At 56.2% G+C, this 22359-nt stretch overlaps 1 protein-coding gene and 1 long non-coding RNA gene across 2 annotated transcripts in view, besides 4 other annotated features; one reads left to right on the forward strand and one right to left on the reverse strand.

Annotated features, from left to right (window-relative positions):
* Window positions 1-22359, reverse strand: part of SCUBE1 (signal peptide, CUB domain and EGF like domain containing 1) — a 146093-nt gene that overhangs the window by 70608 nt on the left and 53126 nt on the right. The window lies entirely within an intron of this gene.
* Window positions 849-1637: an enhancer, noted in NCBI's record as "H3K4me1 hESC enhancer chr22:43664742-43665530 (GRCh37/hg19 assembly coordinates)". NCBI's record gives its function as "activates a minimal SCP1, AML or CMV promoter by ChIP-STARR-seq in naive H9 embryonic stem cells {active_cell/tissue: H9 hESC(naive)}" and the evidence as "EXISTENCE:reporter gene assay evidence [ECO:0000049][PMID:30033119]".
* Window positions 1638-2424: an enhancer, noted in NCBI's record as "H3K4me1 hESC enhancer chr22:43665531-43666317 (GRCh37/hg19 assembly coordinates)". NCBI's record gives its function as "activates a minimal SCP1, AML or CMV promoter by ChIP-STARR-seq in naive H9 embryonic stem cells {active_cell/tissue: H9 hESC(naive)}" and the evidence as "EXISTENCE:reporter gene assay evidence [ECO:0000049][PMID:30033119]".
* SCUBE1-AS1 (SCUBE1 antisense RNA 1) lies at window positions 8055-15943 on the forward strand. The gene is made up of 2 exons (NR_134582.1): window positions 8055-8124; window positions 14050-15943. It is a non-coding gene; the product is annotated as an SCUBE1 antisense RNA 1 (long non-coding RNA).
* Window positions 9833-10333: an enhancer, noted in NCBI's record as "H3K4me1 hESC enhancer chr22:43673726-43674226 (GRCh37/hg19 assembly coordinates)". NCBI's record gives its function as "activates a minimal SCP1, AML or CMV promoter by ChIP-STARR-seq in primed H9 embryonic stem cells {active_cell/tissue: H9 hESC(primed)}" and the evidence as "EXISTENCE:reporter gene assay evidence [ECO:0000049][PMID:30033119]".
* Window positions 14374-14874: an enhancer, noted in NCBI's record as "H3K4me1 hESC enhancer chr22:43678267-43678767 (GRCh37/hg19 assembly coordinates)". NCBI's record gives its function as "activates a minimal SCP1, AML or CMV promoter by ChIP-STARR-seq in naive H9 embryonic stem cells {active_cell/tissue: H9 hESC(naive)}" and the evidence as "EXISTENCE:reporter gene assay evidence [ECO:0000049][PMID:30033119]".

A 22359-nucleotide genomic window follows, 5' to 3' on the forward strand; every position in this document is an offset into this window, starting at 1 on the left:
GGCTAAGTTGAGATTTGAAGGGGAAAAGGTGAACCCTGAGGCACGTGAGGTGCTGGGTTCCAAGCCCTTCTGCTCTAGGGATGGGCCTGGGCTCCAGATGGGAAAGGACTCTGTGGGTCTGTGACTCTACCCCCTCTGCTGTGAGCTTGGAAGGACCCCCCGGGCCTCCTCCAGCTCCCCTGAGCCAGCCAGGTCCATGCAGCCAGTGGCAGCTGCAGGCTGTGTCCACCGATGCCAGCCTGTGAGCTCTTCCAGAGCAGGGGCCCAGTCTACTCAGGCCCAACCCCAAGCCCCAGGCCCAGAGCAGGCTTCTGTGAGCCTGAGGGACGGAAGGGCCCCAGTTCAAACTCCGTCCTCCTGTGGCTCCCGGATTTGTGTCACGTCTGCTCTTGGGAGCCATAGGACAGCTCCCTTGACCTAGATATGGGGAGAACCATGGAGAGGCAAGTTCAGCAGAGAGCCCTGCTGGTCTCCCCTTCTTAATGGGAAGTGAGATAGAATTTCAGAGTCATTCCCAGAAATCCTGGTCTTCAGAGGCCTGATGCCCGTCAGGCCAGGCGGCCCGCCAGGTCGAATCTAATCTGATCCAACCACCCAAATCCAATTACATGCTACAAACTCAGACCAAGTGTCTCCTTGGTGCCCAAGATGGGCCAGGGAGCAAGGAGAGGACAGATGCTCTGCTGCCACAGTGTCAGGTCCACATTCAGGCTGCCACTTGCTGCGTGACCCTGGGCAAGCCCTTCACCCCTGAACCTCGGTTTCCACCTACGTAGAATTGGACAGTAGTAGCGCCTGCTTCCCAGAGTGTGCTAAATGTGCAGCCCCAGTCTCTGGGTGAGTGAGGTGCTGGCTAAGGGTGCAGATAGGCTGTTGTGGGACTTCGTACTGGCCAGAAGGAAGCCAGAGGGGAGTTGTCAATAGGGGAGCGACACGCTTGTGTGTCAGAAAGATCTCTGGAGGCTGTGTGGAATATGCCCTGGAGGGCCAGGACTGCAGGCCAGGACAGTGGAGAGGCTGTTGCTATCACTCTGAAAGGGACAAAGCCTGGTAGAACGGCAGTGGTTATGGGGATTGGGAGGAGGGCTGGATTGGACACATTTAAGAGCTGCTTCTGAGTTTTCTGGAAGAAGTGATGTATGAACTTGGGCCCCGGCTATACTTTCATTCACTTGGACCCTCACAACAAGCCTGATGAGCGGGCATCACCGTGCCCACCTTCCAGGCAAGCAGACGGAGGTTGGGACAGCGTCGGGGAAGACGTGCCCCGGGCTGTGTCTTCTTCTCCAAGTGGCCGGTGCTTCCTCCCGATGGGCCCTCCCCCAGGTCGCCATCTCCTCTGGACTCTGACAGGCCCTGGCAGCCCTTCCCCACCGGGGCCTATCTTCCCCCAAGGCCTTCGATCATTCTTGGGTACTCCACTAGAGTGTGCGCAGAGAGAAACGATGGCATGGTCTGCCTGGCCCCGAGCCAGTGCGTACATCACATCCTCTGCAATGCAAAGTTCACGGATGCATCTCAAGCAGGGCAGTGCGGCCCAGCGTGTTTGTACTTAGGAGTGGGGCCTTTCTTGCCGCCACGGTCGGATAACAAAGCTGGAATGTGTGCCTCCTGAGGGTCGTTGCTATGGCGACTTCATCAATAACATCATTTTCTGCATCCATGTCCCTTAAATACATGGGAAGGGATGGCAAGCTGGGAACGGCAGAGCAGGGAGAAAAGAACAAACACCTTGCTGCGCCCTTCCCCCTCAACTTGGGAGGAAGGGATTTTCCTCCCTTCGCCTCATCAATAGAAAGTTATGGAGCCAAGAAAGAGCCTGGAGCCTTGGGGGTGGCAGGGGGAGGAGGCGGCTGCCTTCCCCAACCCCGACTCCGCAAGCTGTCCAAGCCATGCAGGGAAAAACAAACACGAGCTCCCACCAACGTTGAAGGGGGGTGAAGGAAACCCGGGGAAGGTGGTGCCCAGGGGGAAGGCGCAGAACAGCTGTAGGGTCGGGGCTGGTGGGAGAGATGATGATGACAACAGTGCAGCCTCCCACGTTCATCAGGGCTGCCTGTGCGCCAGGCCTACCACACACCAGAGACTCCTTACCTCACGGATTCCCTGACAAGCTCAGGACGGGGTATGCTACGGCACAGGCTGAGCATTCCTCATCCGAAAATCCAGAATCTGAAATGCTCCAAAACCCAAAGCTTTTTGGGCATTGACATGATGCCACAAGTGGAGAATTCTACACATAAGTACTTCACACAAACTTTGTTTTATGCACAAAATTATTGAAATGCCATGTAAAATTGCCTTCAGGTATGTGTACAAGGAGTATATAAAACAAATGCGTTCCATCTTTAGACTTGGGTCCATCCACAAGCTACTTCATTATGTATCTGCAAATGTTCCCAAATGTGAAAACATCCAACACTGGAAACACTTCTGGTCCCAAGCATTTTGGATAAAGGATGCTCAACCTGTGTTACGTCCACTTAACAGCTGAGAACGCTGAGCGCACAGAGGTTAGTGACTGAGGTAAGGTGAGGGGGCTGAACCCAGCGGACAGAGCTGGAGCTGCAACACACTGTCTCGCCAAGGCCGTCTCCAACGACAGCTTCTCCAGGGTGCCGATTCCGATCCTGCCCTGCCAGTCTCCTCAGATCCATGGAGAGCCCCCTGTGGGCCGGGAACATACCCTGCAAAGCCAAGGCCTGGCAGAGACAGAGAAGCCTTTACAACATCGCCCTGCAGGGCAAGTAGCTTTATCCCCATGTAGCAGAAGCTCTTCAGAGAAGTGGAGCGATTTGCCTGTGGTCACTGAGTAGGACATGGGAGGCAGGTAGAGGCGAAACTGAAACCTGGGTCTGTCTGACTTGAAGACCTGCCCTTCTCCAGCTGCAGAGGGAACTTTCTAGTGCATAAATCTGACTGTGTCTTCCTACTGTAAACAAAACAAGCAAAACAAGCAAAAAAACTCTTCAGTGCCCCTGCACCCAGTGCCCAAAGGGTTAGGCTGAAAGTTCTCAGCATGGGACTGAAGGTCCTCCCTGACCCCTGCCACCTGCCTCTCCAGCTGACTTGTCCTTCTTCGAGCCCTGGGTGAGGGGCAGCCTCCCGGCCGCCCTGCACAACCCCCGCTCCCTTCCCACCCTAAGCCTTTGAGAAGGTGCTTTCCTCTGCCTGGGACACGCTCTCGCCCTCCTCTGAATGGCAACTTCTGGCTAGTTACTTGAGATGCTGTTTCTGTGTCACCTCTTCCAGGAAGCCCTCCTTGTTTCCACCCTCTCCACAAGTGCCTAGGTTGGACTGGGGCCATGCCTGGGGCTCCCCTGCTCCCTCCTTGCTCATAGCACTCACCACACTAATTGTACCTGTTACACATTGTCTCCCTCCCTCCAGATGGGGCATTCTCAAAAGGGCCCACACCTGAGTAACCTCTTTGCCCTCGTCCCCTGTACAATGCCTAACACTCAGTGAATGCACAGAAACCCAGTGAATGCACAGAAACCGTCTGATAAACACAAGCTCACTGGTGAGCGGCCTGGGATCAGCTACTCTGGATTTGGACTGTGTCGGAACAGGGGCCAACTCTCAGACAACGGTGGTATGCTTGTCTGCAGGCCCAGACCTGGCTGCCGTTCTGGCTCCCCCTGGATCCCCTAATTCCATGCTGACAGCATCTGCCCCTGGAGTGGCACACTGAGAGCCTCTCGCGGTGCGGCCTCGGCTTCAGTAGAAACACACGGCTCTGCCTTCCACCCTGTATCCCCCAGATTACATTCTCTGGGGCAAATCTAGGCCTGCCGGGAACCAACAGCTGGCGGTCCCGGACTAGACCCCCAGCTGGCCCCGAGCCCAGCCACCCCCAGGCAGCATCCCTAGGGGGTAGTCCCCTCTGGGAAATGCAAGTGACCAAAGACTGCGGGCTTCTACTTACCCAGAGCGCCCCTGTGTCAGGCCCCACAGTGGGCTCTTTGCAAACATTCCTAATTGAACATCTCAATGACCAAGTGCCAGGTACAACCAGCACTCACCGGACAGGTGAGGATGCTGAGGCTTAGACAGATCAAGAGACTTGCCGCCCCAGGTCTTCTACCTTGTGTGAGGGAGTAGGGAGCTGATGCCCTGGTGGCCACTCCATTGGCAGGCCCAAAGGGGTTCTAGCCCCTCCATTAAGTGCTCACCTCACACCTCATCAGCCCTGGTACCCACTTGGCAGCCTGGACGGTCCCTCAAGGGAACTCTGCTCCTCTCGTCGTCCTTCTCACTGCCCCCTCTGCTTTGACCAATATGCCATATTGGATGTAGGGGAAAGAGTTTATCCCCCAGAGCCTCTTGGGGTCCTGGGTCCCAGCTGGGTGTGTGACCCAGCAAAGAAGCTGGCCCACTCTGCCTGGTCCCCTTCCCACCCACTCCACACGCTCGCAGCACCGTCCCTTCTGCTCTGACACCGACTCTGGGCCCTCTTTCAGGGTTCAAAGGCTCCTGCCAGGCCCCAGAGGACTAGTCGTCCTGGGTGTGCACAGGCCTTGGCTCAGCACTCACCACCCAGCTGTTCCAGCCACAAGAGTCCACATCTTGTATTATCTGGCTCCCAACGCCTTCCACGTTCAACTGCTTGTGTGCTTACGTGCCCCTTCATTCCACAAATATTTAGGGAGTGCCTCCTTGGTTTCCAGCCCCAGGATTCCAGGCAGGCGCAGGCCTTTCTACCAACCAGCCCGCTCCTTGTCTGCGCCTCCTCCTGATCTGCTCTCCTAGGGGCCGGACCACAGTGAAGCCCGAATGGGTGCCCAATAAACACCTGCAAGGTGGTTGGTTGATGAGCTCACCGGGCACGGACATGGGCCACAGCTCCGAGAGAAATTGTCCTGCTTTGTGTTTACACGCAAGCAAAAACCAGAATGGATTGGTTTTCTGGAAAGCTAGAACTGGAAGGCGCCTTGGAGAGCATCTAGGTGAAGCCTCTCCATTTCCACTGAGGAGGCTGAAGCCCACGAGACAGTGACTGTCCTGGGTCACGCGGCTGTGACTTGCCCTGGTCACGCAGCTGTCAGTGCAGAGTTCACATGCAGCCTCCCACTTTCGGTCAAGCTCAGCGCTCTTTCTTTCACATCAAGAGGTGGCACACAAGGACTGCTGCCCTTGACCTTTCAGCTCACGCATTCCTTCACTCCCTCAATTGACAAACCTTTGCTAAGCACCAGCTGTGTGCAGGCCCTGGGCTGAGACCGAGGAGGAAGGGTGTCCAACCCCACACGCTCATTCTCAGTTTGAGACCCAGTCACTGCCATGCGGTTCACTGGCAGGCACGCACTGTGTACACAGATGGAGACAGACAGAGCTGGGACTGTGATTGGCTCCTGGCAAGCTTCTCCGAAAGCAGGATGGATGCCAGCCTCCCTTCAGCACCCTCTCCCCACCCCAGGGCCTTGACCAGTCCTGGCACCGGGAACCCCTAGAAAGCTGCCTCTGTGAAATGGGAGGTGGTTCTGTCTCTGACAGTTGGGAGGACCAAGAAACATTTGCAGAGCCACAGAAAGCTCTATGGGTTGGGCAACACCGAGGTGGGGCAGGTTGATTCGACAGCGCTGATTTGCGTCCCCATCCCAGCCCTTTCTAAGGCATGTGGTTTTAGAACTTGTTGTTGCCTAATTTATAAAGTGGGGAGACTAAAACCCTCTTTTTTTTTTTTTTTTTTTTTTTTGAGACAGAGTCTCACTCTGCCGCCCAGGCTGGAGTGCAGTGGTGTAATCAAATCACAGCTCACTGCAGCCTTGAACTCCAGGGCTCAAGCAATCCTCCTGCCTCAGCCTCTGGAGTAGCTGTGACTACAGGTGTGCGCTACCACACCTGACTAATTTTTGTATTTTTTGTAGAGATGAGGTTTCACCATGTTGTCCAGGCTGGTTTCGAACTCCTGGGCTCAAGCGATCCTCCCACCTCGGCCTCCCAAAGTGCTGGGATTACAGGTGTGAGCCACCACGCGCAGCTTAAAACTTTCTTTTGTAAGAGTGTTCAAGGGCAGTAACAGAGGTGATGGGCTCCAGCTCAGATCCCTCAAGCTGCAGGGGGTGCTCTGTAAGGCTGGCCCGCTCCCTCTCCCCTGCCTGCTGGCTCCTCACCTGGAGCCCCTGCCCTGCCTCGTTTCTTCCCCGTTCCTCTCCCTTGATTCCTGAAATTTCCCAGGCTGGTCACTAGGTGTCACCGCAATCAAGTTTTTCTGCCCCCACGGACCTGAGGTCTTGCACCAGAGAAGTCAAGAGTCAAGAGACTCACTCACCTCCTGAGCTTTACTCCCTCAAGGCCCGGGAGGCTGGAGGTGTCCTTCTTTCCTCCCTCAGGTTGCCAGGTTTAGCAAATAAAAATACAGGACGCCTCATTCAATCTGAATTTCAGGTGGACAATCAATACTTCCTGAGTATAAGTATGTTCAAAAGTTGCATGGGTCATACTTATAATAAAAAAAATTACTTGTTTATCTGAAATCCCAGTTTAAATGGGCACTCTGTATTTTATCTGGCAACCCTGCCCTGCCCTCCACAGGGACCCTAAAGGAAGCCATGGCGGACGGACAGGCTGTCTAGTGCCACCCTTAGCTCCTACTGCCAGAGAGCTCAGGCAGGTGCCCAGGCCATGGCCTGCCACGAACAGGGAAAAGGTCTGTTTTTCCTTTCCAGCAGGTGACGAGATGGAGGGCGCCCAGGCATGGGGGCCAAGGTGGTAGCATCCCAAAAGTGTTCCCACAGCAGCCCTGGGAACCCGGAAGGAGACAGTGGTAAGAGCACTGTGGACACACGAACAGGAGGATCTGTAAGGCTGTGAGCAGCGTCCCCGAGCCCCAGCCAGTGACTCTCCACCACTGTCCACCCACATGCCGCAGAAAGGAGCAGGGGCTGCAGAGCCACAGCCTGGGGCTGGAGTCCCGGCTGCGTCACAAGCAGTGGCGCTCACTTCCTCTCCCTCAGCTGTGCATGAGGGGCGGCAGCGGGTACTTCTCATGGCCCTTCGAGGACAAAAGGGGCTCATGGGCTCGGGGCACAGTAGGTACGTTTGGATCATCGGCAGGTACAGCCACTTTGGGGACATAAGCCAATTCCCGCCACCGACTCAAACTTAGTCTGGTGACTTGTCGCTGCACTCAACAGACAAACGTGTGGGCGATCTGTGATGTGCCCTGGGGGCACAGGAGTCAGGCGCTCTGTGATGTGGAGGCGAGGCTGGGCAGCGGGAGGGAAAGGTGTTCTGGAGCAGGAACAAGCCCATGCAGAGGCCTGGGGAGTGAGGCTGGGGGTCTCTGCGCTTCTGACAGACAAACTGGGGCTGGAGAGGCCTCGTGGAGAGAAGCCGGCAGACCTGCAAGCTGACCAGCTGTGGAAGGGAGCAAGGTGGGACAGCAGTGCAGGACCCAGCAAACCACGACGCGCTGGGCGTCCCTCTCCTGGCGGTGGGCTGGGCACACTGCTCTGCACGAGGGGTGTGAAGGCACTTTGTGAACGGATGATGCACACACTTCGGGCATGAGTCCCTCATGAGATGGTCTCATCTCCTCTACACTCCCATGCGGCATGTTTTCCTCTGCACCCTGCCCTGTGTGAGACGTGAGAAACACAAGGATGACTTAAACACATCCCTGCCCTTCTTGGGAGCTCATGGACTGGTCCTGCAGTAGAGGGCTGAACCATTTCAAACACATGAGTGCAAGTAAAGAGGAAGACGTGCACGCCTGCCTAAGAGTCAGAGACAGCTTCAGAGAGGAGGTGAAAGTGCGCTGGGTTTTGATGGATGACTAAGAGTTCTCCAGGAAGGGAGGGGAATGGGAAATGGCAGTAAAGGCAGAGGATGACACATACCGAGGTTGTAATCAGTAAAGGGCACGTGTGCCGTAACAGGGAGAACAACAGGCAGATGGGGAGGAACCAGGAGAGAGGAACTGGACTGTGGGAGGCCTTGGGAGGCAGGAAGGCAGCAGTGCCTGACAATGGAGGAACTCGGAGGGGGGCGGAGAAAGCGCCCCGGCTGCAGGATGCAGGAGGGAAGGGGGATGAGGCGGAGGTAGGGACACCAATTAGCAACCACAACCTTTGAAGAAGGCAGGGCAACAGGGGTGAGGAAGCTGGCTGGGTTTGGGAGGTGAGTAGAGCTCGGACGTGGGATCCGGTCACACTAGGATGTGGGAGCCACACAGGGGAAGGGTGAAGGCAGCACCCCAGCGCTGGTGCCCCACTGATGGGGGACGCGCTAGGAAGCACAGGTCTGGGAGGATGGGAAGATGCTGCGTTTGGTTTTGGGCAGGTGGGAATTCTGTAGCTGGGGTCCCCGTCTAGGGGACAGTTGGTACTGGGGTCAGAGCTGGAGAAGTGGCCACTGCTGGTCAGCAAGGAGACTCAAGAAGCTTAGGGGAGAGCTAGGAGAGGGCTGAGGCAGAGGAGGAGCCAGGATCGGGGGCTGAGGAGGAAGGGAAGAAGTCCCATGGGACGTACATGCTGAAAGAGTCTGGTGACATAATCAAGCAGCCACCAGGCCGGGAGACAAAAACCCACCTGGCTGGCCTCAGGCGGGTGACGAGGACCTGGGGAATGCTGCGGCCAGGGGTGGCCAGGCAGACGTCCCACCAGGAGATTGGCCTTGTGGCCACAGTCACAACCCAATTTCCCTAATGAGGCTAGGGAGGGCTCACACCACTCCCTAATGACCCAGGATGACCTCGGCTGCTTCCCCACTCTGCCAACCAGGCATCTGCCCGGTGGTTTCCGAACCCACACTCCAGATCTGCATGACTTTCCATGCGTAGGGCCTGTGCCCACAAACCCCAGGTGGGAAGCCAGGCTGTGGGCTACGGTGTAGGGGGTGGGCACTGGTCTGGAGCCTAGGGGCCTGGGACAAGTTCCAGCTCTGCCCCCAACATGCTAAGTGACCTCTGACAGGACACATGGTGTTTCCAGGGCCTCTGCTACTTCACTCTAGAACAGGCGTGCAGGCCAGCTTCCCTCCAGGGCAGCATGCTTTCGGTTCTCACGCACGTCAACTCCATGACCTCGCCTCAGCTTTTCCTGACTGCCTGCTCCCTACAGACCCCAGGCTGGACACTGGGGGGCCAGCGGGTCCTTGTGTCCAAGGGCATATCCTCACTTGGGGGAGAAAGGCCCGGGAGCAGAGACATGAGAGACAGGGCAGGGAGGCTGAGGGTGGAGGCCGAATGAGACAGAGGCAGGGATGCGTAGGTTCCACCTGGGGGATCAGGAGGTGTGCGGGGAAAAGGTGTAGAGGGTTCTCAGTGAGCGATGGTCAGTCAGGATGAGCGGGAGTTCCAGACAGAGGGAGCTGTGTGGGCAGAGGCCGGGATGAGAAGTTCACTATGGCTGGTTCATGACATGCCAAGCAAGGACAGGCTGCAGAGAACCACATTCCTCTCAGGAGCCATGGGAAGGTCTTGAGTGGGGAATGACAGAGCCAGAGGGTTGGGCAGAGCAGTGGTTCTGGCTGCTACCAGAAGGCTTGCGGGGCAGGGAGGCCTGTGAGGCAGCTGCCGCACTAACTCAGGCAAAAGACGGCAGCGCAGCCCTAGGCAGAGGGCAGCATGGCGAGACAGGGGCTCCTTGTGTCACAGGGCATCTGGGCTGCACAGCACCCCTGCCCCTGGCCCCCCATCCATTGGTTCATCAAGTGTCTTTGATCTTAGGAGGCGGTTGGGCCTGGGTGCAAATCTTGGCTTTGCTACTTCTTCACTACGGACAAGTCTCTTTGCTTTTCAGCCTCCATTTGCTCACCTGCAAAATGGGGTAGCTACATGACACAGACTGTTCTCAGGATCTGATGACTCGTGTCAGAGTCTATGCACTATGCTCAGCTATGATGCGTATGACAGCTTTGCACAGTTCTAGTGATCTGGACCGGGCTCTACATGAGGCGATGTCTTGTATATACGATCTCATTTTAATTCTCGTAAACAATTCTGTCATAAAATATATGAATGTTTGCCCCAGGACTTGTGGCAGAGAAGGACGCCAGGGCTGGGCAAGCTACCTGTTGGCCTAGCCCTCTGGGTTGCAGCTCTCCCTGCCCTGCACCCACAACTCTGGGAGATTTGAAAGTTCTGCAGCTTAGGGGAAATTTATACCACTGATGTGAAGTCAGTACTGGGGGTGCCCCTGGCGCCGGCTCAAGGCCAGGCCAGGAGAGGGGCGTGAAGCTGGGCTTACCAGCCGAAAGAGTTGTTTATGGAGTGGGAGGCTCATAAAAAATAATGGGCTGGATTTATTGTCCCCACCTTGAGGGCCATTCCGGACCGCACAGGGCCAGGACAGGCCTCCTCCGGTAGCACCATAAATCTCTCCAGTAAGCAAGGGAGCTGTTTATTCTCCTGTCCACCTGGTCTGCAGCAGGCAAGGGAGCGAGGAGAACCTGCAACCCCACATGTCCTGCCTGGCGCCCTTGCCTGGCTGATCTTCTCCAAGGAGTGGCTGAAGAAGGCAGGTGCTGAGGCTGGGATGGGATTCGGAGGCATGGCCACACCCTCTCTTTAAACAGGAAGTTCCTAGCCGTGCTGCCCCAGCACTCACAGTTGATAATGGAAAGCCCTGGAACAGGGCAGGGGATGTCTCTGGCCCTGCAGGAGCCGTGCTAGGGCCCCTCAGGTCAAGGCCTGGCCCAGATCCTATAGGAATCCCGTCCCAGGAGCCAATAGGAACCTGACAGCTAGGCACACTGATAGGATCCTATCAATATGTGGCTGAGGTGGCTCAGGAGGGCCCATGGGTCTCTGTCCATTGGCTTGTTTCTTTGAGTCTGCAAGTGGATGGTGCAGGGCAAAAAGAACTGACATTGGCCTCAGAATCCAGCCCCTGATCCTGAAGTCCTGCCCCCCCAGTGCAGCTCAGGGAAGCTCAGTTTTCCCTCCCATGATGGGGACATTAGTACTTATCCAAAGCATGTCACAGGGTGGCTGTGAGCATCAGGCGACCCTGTATGGAAACCACAGCAAAGCTCCAGGAGGGTGGAGCTGGGCCTGTCGAGGACACCTGAGCTGCGGGAGGGTGGGGCTGGGCCTCCTGAGGACACCTGTGGGCTGAGACAGGTTTGGGGGAAGGACAGTGTCCAGTCAGCCTGCAGGCCACAGACAAGCCAGAGTGGGAGAGGCAGAGTGGAAGACAGAGTCAAGAGGAAGCTCGAGGACCAGCCTGGAAGAGGCTCTTGGGAGGGCCCAGGACTAGAGTCTGGGGTGGGAAAGAGGCTAAGGGCAAGGGTTTCAGATACAGGCTGCCCCAGACGCTGCTGGGGAGAAACACTAGGTCTCTGCTCTGGCTCAACCCCAGGAAACCTGTACCCTAAAACTCTCAGGTAACCTTTGTCAAGGAGCCCCCAGCCAGTCCTGAGACAGCTGTGGACTTGGAACAGGGGGCTCAGGCCCCAGAGGCAGGGTGGGCTTGCTCTCTGGCAGTGCTTCTGACAGTGGCCGCCTCGGTGCATATGCTGTGCAGGGCCTCACCTCCAACCACTTAGGAGGCTGAGTGCCAGCAGGAAAGAAACCTTTATTTTTAAGCCCACCACAGAGTAAGCATGTGCTACGGTCTGCATGATTGTGTCCCCTCCAAAATGATGTTGAAACTGAACCCCTATTGCGGCAGCCCTCACCAGACAGTGAATCTGCCAGAGTCTTGATCTTGGACTTCCAAGCCTCCAGAACTGTGAAAAGTAAATTTCTATCTTTAGAAATTACCCAGTCTCAGCTCTTCTGTTATAGAAGCAGGAATGAAGTAGGAGGCAATCTTTTTTGCTGACTGATGGCGTGGGCAAGGGCATGCTCTCCTGGGCTCCCACAGCCCCTGTCCAGCTTCTGTCACAGCCCTCCACGCACTGTCTGGTCGGGACCTGCCTCAGGTTGGACCCTCCTACAGCCTGTGAGTTCCGAAAGGACCTGCCCTGGCACAAAAATGGGGTTTCCAAGTACTACCCAAGGGGGTGGAATGCAGAGGCTTGGACATGTGGTCACTAAAGTGCAGTACAGACGGCAGAAGAATCCTGATGTCCCCAGTCCCCTAGGGAGATCTGAAACTCCACAAGTGTCCCAAGCTCCTAAGCCTCAATGAAGCCTTGAATACTGAGCTTTTCCTCACTCAAGCCAATCAAGTCCCTGCAATTGATTACAGCCCAGGCTGGGCCAGGCCTGAGCCAGCCAGTCAGGAGGAGGAAGGTGGGCAGCGGCCCTCTGCACAAGGCTTTCCCGGACCGCATGAATCTGATGCTGAGCAAGGCGCTGGGCAGGGTTCGGCGCTGTCTGCCTCTTCCAAAGTAGAGACCAGTGGGCCCTGCCTTGAGCCCCAGGTCTCCCAGACCTCCAGCGTTCTGCGCTACGAAGAGAACAAGGCCCCACCTTGTCCAGAGCCACCGAAACTTAAATATTCCCCACCTATGTGACGCGGGTAACAGGCCTCGCTGAAGTGTAAACCCGGGGCAGACAGAGGGCTCTGCCGAGAGTCAGCTCACCAAGTCTCTCACCGTCCCCTCACCCATCCCCCGTCCCTTCCCCTCACCCATCCTCCTGTCCCTTCCCCTCACCCATCCCCCTGTCCCTTCCCCTCACCCATCCTCCCGTCCCTTCCCCTCACCCATCCCCGTCCCTTCCCCTCACCCATCCTGCTGTCCCTTCCCCTCACCCATCCTCCTGTCCCTTCCCCTCACCCATCCTGCTGTCCCTTCCCCCTGCAGACATCCTCCTGCTACCTTTCCCCTGCTACGCTGTCACCTCCTCTCTCAGCCATGCTCCTACCAACTTCCCCTATCAGCCCTCCTTCTGTCACCTTTCTTTCACACATCCCCACCACCTTCCTCCTCGGCCACCCTCCTGTCACCTTCCTCCTCGGCCACCCTCCTGTCACCTCCCTCATTGGCCACCCTCCTGTCATCTCCTCCTCAGCTACCCTGTCACCTCCCTCAGCCATCCTCCTGTCACCTCCCTCTTTGGCCACCCTCCTGTCACCTCCTCCTCAGTCACCCTGTCACCTCCCTTGGCCACCCTTCTGTCATCTCCTCCTCAGCTACCCTGTCACCTCCCTCAGCCATCCTCCTGTCACCTCCCTCTTTGGCCACCCTCCTGTCACCTCCTCCTCAGTCACCCTGTCACCTCCCTTGGCCACCCTTCTGTCATCTCCTCCTCAGCTATCCTGTCACCTCCCTCAGCCATCCTCCTGTCACCTCCCTTGGCCACCCTCCTGTCACCTCCTCCTCAGTCACCCTGTCACCTCCCTTGGCCACCCTTCTGTCATCTCCTCCTCAGCTATCCTGTCACCTCCCTCAGCCATCCTCCTGTCACCTCCCTTGGCCACCCTCCTGTCACCTCCTCCTCAGTCACCCTGTCACCTCCCTTGGCCACCCTTCTGTCATCTCCTCCTCAGCTACCCTGTCACCTCCCTCAGCCATCCTCCTGTCACCTCCCTCTTTGGCCACCCTCCTGTCACCTCCTCCTCAGTCACCCTGTCACCTCCCTTGGCCACCCTTCTGTCATCTCCTCCTCAGCTATCCTGTCACCTCCCTCAGCCATCCTCCTGTCACCTCCCTTGGCCACCCTCCTGTCATCTCCCTCAGCCACCCTCCTGTCACCTCCCTCTTTGGCCACCCTCCTGTCACCTCCTCCTCAGCCACCCTCCTGTCACCTCCCTCAGTCACCCTCCTGTCACCTCCCCCTCAGCCACCCTCCTGTCACCTCCCTTCTCAGCCACCCTCCTGTCACCTCCTCCTCAGCAACCCTGTCACCTCCCCTGGCCATCCTCCCGTCGTCTCCCCCTCAGCCATCCTGCCCTCTCCCCTTGCTGTCCCCATATGGGTTCCAGACCCTGATGGCTTCCAGTGCTCTCTCTGGCCCCACTCCCTGCTTCACCTGTACAACTGAGGCAAGTGTGATCTTCCTAAAATGGGCTCATTCTCCTTCTCCTCATGGCTGACAGGGCACCCTTCACTGTCACGGCACAGTCCAAATTCCTGCTAGACAGGGTCCTGTCCCTCTGAGTTCCGCCAGCTTTGGGCCTGGCTTCAGGCTCCTGGGCCCATTGTCTCCCATAGGTAACCACAGCTGCTGGGACGAGGACTCCTCTGGCCAACCGGAACAAGCTGGAATCTTCGGTGTCAGAGGAACCCTGGCCACGGTGCAAGGACAGGCTGGCCTGAAGGAGGCACCCAGGCATCGGGAGCAGCTGGACGGTCAACAGGGTGAAGGGAGTTGAGAAGGGCACCGGGGACGGGAGAGGCAGTGGCCCCAGGGTCTCTGCTAGGTTGCAAGTGAATCAAAAGCAACCACACAGGAAAAGTGTCAGGCACAGGGCAGAGGCTCAAGCACCCTCCAGTGAGGCCCATGGTGTAGAGAAACAAACAGACACCAGGATGGACACGGGCACCCATCCCTCCAGGCGCTGTGGACCTGGGACAGCCACGGAATTGCTTGCAGTCAGATGGCGCAGGACGGTGGATGGCATCTGAGGACTCTCTCTGCTCCAGACATCATTCCAGGAAAGTGACGGGACTGGCCTGTGCCTCTCCCCAGGGTTTCTGGCTCCCTGTCTCCAGAGTCCTACTTGAAGTGCTTTTTTAAGGCCAGCTGCCTCCAATCCGTTGCTGTCCACCAAGGTCTGGGCCCAGATGACGCTGCCAGCCCCTTGCCCTCTCTTTCTACCACAAACTCCTGCTGCTACCCAATCTCCCCCCTTAATCCTCCCAACAGCATCCTGCCTATGTCACTCTGGCCCCTCTGTCTGCTGACCACCCACCTTCTCTCCATCAGTTGGCCACCACCTCAGAAGCCACCTGCTCTTGCAGGCTTCTTTTTTTTTTTCTTTTTTTTTTGAGATGGAGTTTTACTCTGTCACCCAGGCTTGGGTGCAATGGCGCGATCTCAGCTCACTGCAACCTCCGCCTCCCGGGTTCAAGTAATTCTCCTGCCTCAGCTTCCCAAGTAGCTGGGATTACAGGAGTGCGCCACCATGCCTGGCTAATTTTTGTATTTTTTGTAGAGATGGGGTTTCTCCATGTTGGCCAGGCTGGTCTCAAACTCCTGACCTCAAGTGATCTGCCCACCTCGGTCTCCCAAAGTTCTGGGATTATAGGCGTGAGCCACGACACCCAGCCTCTTGTGGGCTTCTCCAACCCCTTTCCATATCCCACTGGCTCCAGCCCTGAGCTCAGCTTCCTCTGCCTTGAACAGCCCGCTAGCCAAGCCCCTGGCCCTGCTCCTCATCCAGCACGCCCTGCCCAGGCACATGTAGATTTGGGGACCACAGGTTGACCAGCATATTGGGCAGGAAGGTTCCTCTTCTCCTTAGAACCCAATTTCCACACTTGAAAAAAGAAGGGGGAATCCATGGGGGTGGTTGTGATTCCTTTAAACACTGACAGACAGCCGTGGGAGAGGGTCATGATTTGAACCCAGACCACTGGGTTCCAGTCCTGCCACTATTGGACACACTGTTTGCCTCTGTGAGCTTCTGACCCACATCTGCAACATGGGAGCGGCTAGTACTCAGCTCACAGGGTTCAAGGAATTGCAATGGATAATATTAGTATCCATCTGAGGGTTCGAGGGGTCAAATGAAGCAGTATTAGGGTGACCCAATGTCTTGCTTTGCCTGGGACAGTCCCAGTTGATATCCACAGCCCTGGCATAATTAATAATAGTATCTCCTTTCATTCTCACAAGTGTACTGATTTGGATATTGTTCAATTATAACTAAATGCGAACTATTGACTGCGGTGGTTGTGATGTGGATCCGTATGTCATAAATGGCGTGGAGCCACACTCACACACTGTACCAACGTCCAGCTACCGGTCTGGATGTTAAACTCTAGTGACGTAAGATGTCACCATTGGGGGAAATTGGGTAAAGGGCATCTGAGACCACTCTTCACTATTTTTTGCAGCTTCTTATGGATCTACAATTATTTCAAAATAAAAAATTCTAAAAAATCCTATTGTTTTGACTCTAGTTATCATCAGGTATTTGCCCTTGCAAACTTACAGATGAAATGAATGGATCCCCAAAATACTTCAAGCATGGGTTTTATAAGCAAAATAACTAAGTTAAATTTAACCAGAGGTCATCCAGCAAATACTCAGAAATGAGTGGCAATGGCTCCCATGAGGCCGGCAGCTGCTCTAAAGTTCAGGCAGTCTATCAGCAAGCCCGAGCCCGCAGGCTCTTACCTGGTCTGTGTATGGAGACACACGGCCGTGGTCTTCAGAGCAAGACCCGTGACAACACAGTGGTATGTAACAGTTAATAAGAGCAGTGTCGAAAGAAAAGCGTTTGCTTTTAGGCCAGAGGTCTGGGGACATTCAGTGTGGGGATAAACATTAGCAACCATTTTCTGTCTCCGTAACTGAGTTCATAACAAGAATCCTAAACTGTAGGAAGAAAGAGGCCAAGCCGACTCAGGCTGTTCCCGTGAAGGGAGAAGGGAAGTGCGTGCCACACTGCAGAAAATTTCTACCACAAGATGTCTTTTGAACTCTAGGTGCTTAAAGAGGCATACTCGGTACCTGGAGCTGCAGGTGGTGCCAGCTATAAAGGCATCTCCGTTGAACCTCAGGCCCCGCCTGAGTCTCACCATACTTGGGCCGACAACTGAGAGGGGTCCCAGAACCTTCCCCATTGCTGCTGTCTTCACTATCAGGCAGTCAGGAGCCCAGGCTCTGGGGCCAGATTGGCAGACCTCCAATCCCCCAAAGCCACTGGCAACCCTGCAGTTCCCTAACCTCTCAGTGCCTCAAGTTTCTTGATCTGGAAAATGGGGCACTGTAAGGACGCAATGAATGGAAATGCATGGAAAGTGCCTGGTAGCAGGGCCTGGCACACGCAAGCATGCATTGGATGCAGCTCTTGCAATCATCATCGTCATCGTCGTCGTCGTCGTCGTCATCATCATCATCACATTACACACAAAGGGACTGATTCCTGATGCCAAGCTTTCCTACTGCTGGCCCCCACCTCTGACCCTGGCTGTAGGACAACATCACTCTTGATGCCAAGTCTTGAGCTTTGTGAACAGTGGGCTCGAGACCCACGAGGAATGCCTGTGGAGGGAGGGCAATGCGGTTTCCTACACGTATTTATGCACGTGTTTAAACAAACTCCGAACGTTAACCAGAAGGTGAAACGCACTTGGGTAAACTCATGCAGTCCTTGCGGGGAGAACCTCAGGCTGCCCCACGGCCTGTTCCAGTGCATAAAACCCCAGCAGAGCAGCTGCACAGCAGGCTTTCTGTGCACGTGGCCTCATTTCTCCCAAATGGGGGCTCTCATCAATAGAGGACCCCTATTGTCTGGCCCCCTGCCTGGCCCAACCACATGGTCCACCAGCCCACACTGACCAATATCTAACAGCACGACCTGAGGGCGCTGTGAACTGAGTGCTGTCCCGACGCTCCTCAGTGTCCACGCTGAACTGCTCACCACCCTGCCTTGTTCCCAGACCCATCCTGGCTCTGCCCACGCCCACCTTCCTCTCTTCCTTCCCCTCTCTGTCCTTTCCAAAGGCCCAAGTTGGCAGTGGGACTCAGAGATGTGGGGAACATAGTCCCTGCCCACAGGGAGCTCCCAAGCTGCAGGGACACGAGCACCATGAGGCAGAAAACCACTTTCTGGAGCTTGCCGCCAGCAACAATAGGGGGCGGGGGACAGAGGTGGCCACTGGGGCACAGAAGAGGCAGAGCCCAACAGTTTTCCCTGAGGGCTCAGCTCAGAATGGGCTGTCCAGTGGGTGGGATACTCTCACAGGGGACTAAGTGCGGGAGCTGTCAGTAGACAGGGCGGGGTGAGGAGCAGGGCCCTGGTGCTCCCTCTGTGTTGTGACTCCTGATTACCTGTGCCCAGCAGGGACACCTCTGCAGGTGTACTCAAACCTCCGCAGGAAGGATGGGTGGTTGGGCACCCTGGAGGGCTGCCCCGAGGCCAAATAGGTGCGGGAGCTCAGCCGATGAATGAGGGACGATGGCCATCTTGTTGGGCCTCAGGTTTTGGCATGTACTACCTTGTGCACAGATGAACCTGGGTGCAAGGACCACCAGCTCGCTAGTTTGTCGAGGACAAAGCTGGCCTCTTGATCCTCTCCCTCCCCTCTCCCTCTGCTGAATGAACAGGCTCCTGTGCAGCACCTGGCACGTGTCAGCAGAGCCTCGTTCCAAGAGCTTCCAGGTCCTGACTCTGCGGCCGGCTTGTTGTGGGGCCCTGGGCCAGGCCCTGCCCTCTCAGGGCCTCATTTCCTCATCTGTCACAAATCACATGAATAAGAGCCCGTGTTTATTGAAACTGTCTTTTCAATACCTTTTTAACCCTACGAAGCAGGTATTATGACTATCTCCATTTTACAGATGAGACACAGAGAAGTTAAGTGACTTGCTCAAGGTCACGAGATGGTCCATGGTAGAGCTGGGGTTCCAGCCTAGGCCACTGGGCCTGAAGCCCCGCTGTGAGCCTGTGCTGTCTCCTACAATGATGGAGACAATGCGACGTTTCCTCTCACTTTGGTGCCTTCCACCAAGGCTGAGGCCAGCCCACAGGCGGCGTCTGATGAGGCTTCAGAGCAGAGCCCTGCAGGACAGCCTCCTGCATGGAGGGCCAGTGGCATCTCAAACCCAAAGCTGCTGGCAGCCAGTGAGGCCCAGTGTCAGTGCTGGACCCTCGGAATAGCAACAGTTCACCAGGTGGAGGAGGAGACCATGTCACGAACGTCTCTGCTGCTCAGATGAGAAGACCAAAGCCATAGAATCCCCAGAGCGTTTCCCCTCAGCTCATGACTGTACAGGAACTCTTAGGACCCCTACTTAGCATGTGATCCCCTGTCCAGGCTGAAAGCTTCCCAGTGGACCATGCCTCGGATCCTAGGGGCTGGCAGAGCACCTGGCACACGAATAAATGAATGAATGAATGAATGAGCAGGTAAATACAAGTGACCTGCATTCACGTAGCTAGTAAGACTGAGGCCTTCCAGAACCCTTTCTACTCCCGGATCGATTCTGGTCAGAATTCTACATTGAGAGAAAAGGAGACAGTTCCTCCAGGAGGCCACATCTTCCTGTGGCATCAATCCGTCAGAAGTTACAGACAAGAAGAGCAGTGTGGGAGAGGGAGAGAGCCTGAAGGTGCTGCCTTCTAGATACACCAGGCACAAGGGTGTGTGATGGGGGCAGCGGGTGGGCCCCTGGGGCTGTGGCCAGAGGAGGGATTGTCAGTACTTATTGGGCTAGGGCTGAGTGGGAGGTAGGGGGTGCTATCATGGGGCCAGAAGCAGTGCTCGGAAGTGCTGAGTGGAGGGAAACTGGCCAGATTCCAACATCTCGGACTCCCTCCTGCCCAGTGTGGGCACAGAGGAGGAGCCTGTGTGTGTCCCCCAAATCAAGCCTGTGTTCTAAAGACCTGAAGAAGCTGCCTGCATCAGTCGCTACTCCTAGGACAGGTGCTGCCCTTGATTGACCAGAGCAGTTTTCCGCGAATGGGGAAAATTCGACAGCTAGGCCCTTTTTACAGCTGAAAAGGCCCAAGGAGGCAAGAGTAACTGTGCAGAGGCCACATGGAGAGCTGGAGCTGAGAACCTAATCCTCCCAAGCCTAGCCAGGGTCGCAGCCATGCCTTGGCCCAGGGTGTGCTCTGGCGCCTAGAAAGCAGGGCCACTCAGACGGGCTGAGCCCTGTGTTTCTCAGCCAGGAGTCTGGACCGACCTGGGCCAACCCCTCTCATGCATCTGGTTCCATCTAATCAAAACCAGCCTGTGTGCTTTTCTCCCTGTTCAGGGGTAGGCTCCAAAGAGCTGGACAGGCATGAGGAAGAGTCAGGTGATAGGGGGAATCTAATTTGCCAAATGGCTCTGTCTCCTTCAGCCCTCCCAGGAGCTATGGGAATCAGAGGTCACTTGTCTGCAAAACAAGCTGAGTCTTAGCTCCTCTGACATGCTCTAATTTTGAGCTATAACAATCATGATTGCAGTTGACACTAATGGTGGGCAATTGTCACAACAGACTGAGGCTCAGAGAGGTAGACAACCTGCCCAGTCCCCAGGTCCCTGTCTCCCCAATGGGCATTAATGGGCCGCTGACCACTGTGCTGTGTGCTTGCTCTGCCCTCTTCAGGACTTCCACACAGCCGTGGAAACCCACTGGAATGCTGCACCTTGTCGTTCGAGAGCAATCTGATAAGTTATCTGTTGTTTTTTGGACTGATTTCATTGCCCAGATCAAAAAATCAGGAGAGGCCACACAAAAATCGTAAGGAGAGAAGGCACTTCTTTAACCGACACGCTGGTTAATGCAGATTGGGACTGAGGCCCCCAAATCCATATTCTGGTTAAAGCTGGACTCCTGGCTTCCTGAAAAATCAGGATCTGACCACCTGGGGCATCTGGGTGGAGTGAGCCATGTGTGCCCAGGGTCCCACCCAACACCAGCCACTGCACAATTTATGAGATGCCAGCCCCTGGAAGTGCTGGCGTTCTCCCAGATGGCCTCCCCTCTCCCCTAAGCATCACTTCCTACCTCTGCTCAACCAGCTTTCCCACAGCTGCCCTCCACCCAAAATCCAAACTCTTGCCACAGCCCACCAGGCCCCATGTTGTCCAGCCCCCACCTCCCCGCCTCGGGCTCCTCCCGCTTCGTGCTCTCTGCTCCTTCGTCCCACCCTTTGTTCAGCTTTTCACGTGCCCATTCCCACCCCAGGGCCTTTGCACGCGCCCAGCCTGGCACATTCCCCACAAGCTTCCCACCTGGCTTTCTCATCAGCTCCAGCACCGTCTGCTGCACCACCCGTTTCTTTCCTCTCACACCGCATCACCTCCCAAGGAGCGGGCCCCATAGCTAGCGTGCCTGGCTCAGATCCTGGCTCTGCCTCTTCCCTAACTTCGCTGGGCTTCGCCTTCCTCAGCGTCACAACCCAGCCTCGCCGGGCAGTGGCAAAGGTGGAGTGAGCTTGTCTTTGGGCAGTGCTCAGGCCCGTGCCTGGCTCAGAGTAAGCGTGTGGCCCCAGCAGCCCCTGCTGTCGCTGCTCCCACGTCATCCCCTCCCCAACCCCAGTCCTGTAGGGGACGCTAAGGTTTGTAACCTCCTCAGCACAGCAGATGCTTACAGGCCAAACCTGTAACAAACAGGCTGTGGCTGCGGGTGTGATCTGCCCACAGCACACCCTTCTTTCAACCAGGGGCCTCAGCTCCACCTGGAGTCCTGCTGGGGAGAAAGCCGGGCTTCAAAGGAACAGAGCACACACAGCCTGGCTGAAAAGGAGGCTCACGCCACCCTGGCCTGGGACTTTACAGCCTGCTCAGAGCAGTCACTCTGTGAACTCCCCTCCCTGGATGAAAGCAGAGGCCCCTCCCCGCACTTGCTCACTCTGTCCCCATCAATCTGCTTCTTATACAACCTGTTGGGCTCAGAGTCCTGGTTTATAGGGTTTGCCTCCACCGTGGGCAGCTTGGCCCCACAGCCCACAACTGGGAGGTCTTACAAGGCGCAAAACAAACTCCTGATGCCCGGGAGCCACCTGGGTGGAGTGTGGACAATGTGACAGCAGCAAGTGCCAGGAGCCACGGAGCTCGGGCTTTCTGTTCTTCTGGGGACACCACAGAGCCATGATTAGCAGGCCCGTCCTGCCTTTGAGGCAACAAACACTAAGAATTCTAAGGAGCCTGTTCGAGTATTTCCACTTTATTATCCTGAGTACTTTTTAAATGTTTTTGCTTTCACTTTCTCAGGAACTGTTTTCTAATGAAACTCATGCCTGGGCTGGCAGACTCACACCTCACAGCCTCCTGCCTGCTCACGGGAGGCTGGAACCTCATCCCATGGTCCTGCTCCATCTCTGAACGCCCTGCCGGGTAACACCACTTCCCCATTTTGCAGGCGAGGAATCTGGGGAGCAGTCAGTAGAGCCGCCCATGGGAAGGCTTCCAGCGTGGGAGAGGAGGAGCTGGATTCACACAGGGTCCGGCTGGCCTGGAGCCCAGTGCGTGCCCTTTGGTTCCCCATCTCTCAGCGTGAGCCCCTCTCTGAGCCTTCTGCAGGTGCTGTGTACCAGAGAGGGGCGACCTTCCCAGGAACGCCCTCTATGCCCGCAAGCCTCCAGCGCCTCCTCCTTGTTAAGGGTCAGCAATGGGGGCGTGCCTGAACTGGGGCAGTTCTGGCCTTCTTCCTTACATTTATTCCCTTGACAGCTCACGACAGCCAGGCCCTGGGAACCTTGGCTCCTGCCCTGCCCTCACAGCACACTCTGCTTTGGTACACAGCCCTGCCTCAGATGCCTGCCCTTGCATTATCTTAAGCAAGAGATGTGCCTCCGCAAAAGCTGTTCTCTGCCTGGAAGCCCCTCTCCTCCAAGCACATGTGTCCTGGCTCTCTCCTCC

The sequence above is a fragment of the Homo sapiens genome, chromosome 22 (assembly GCF_000001405.40).
Source record: "Homo sapiens chromosome 22, GRCh38.p14 Primary Assembly".
NCBI lineage: Eukaryota > Metazoa > Chordata > Mammalia > Primates > Hominidae > Homo > Homo sapiens.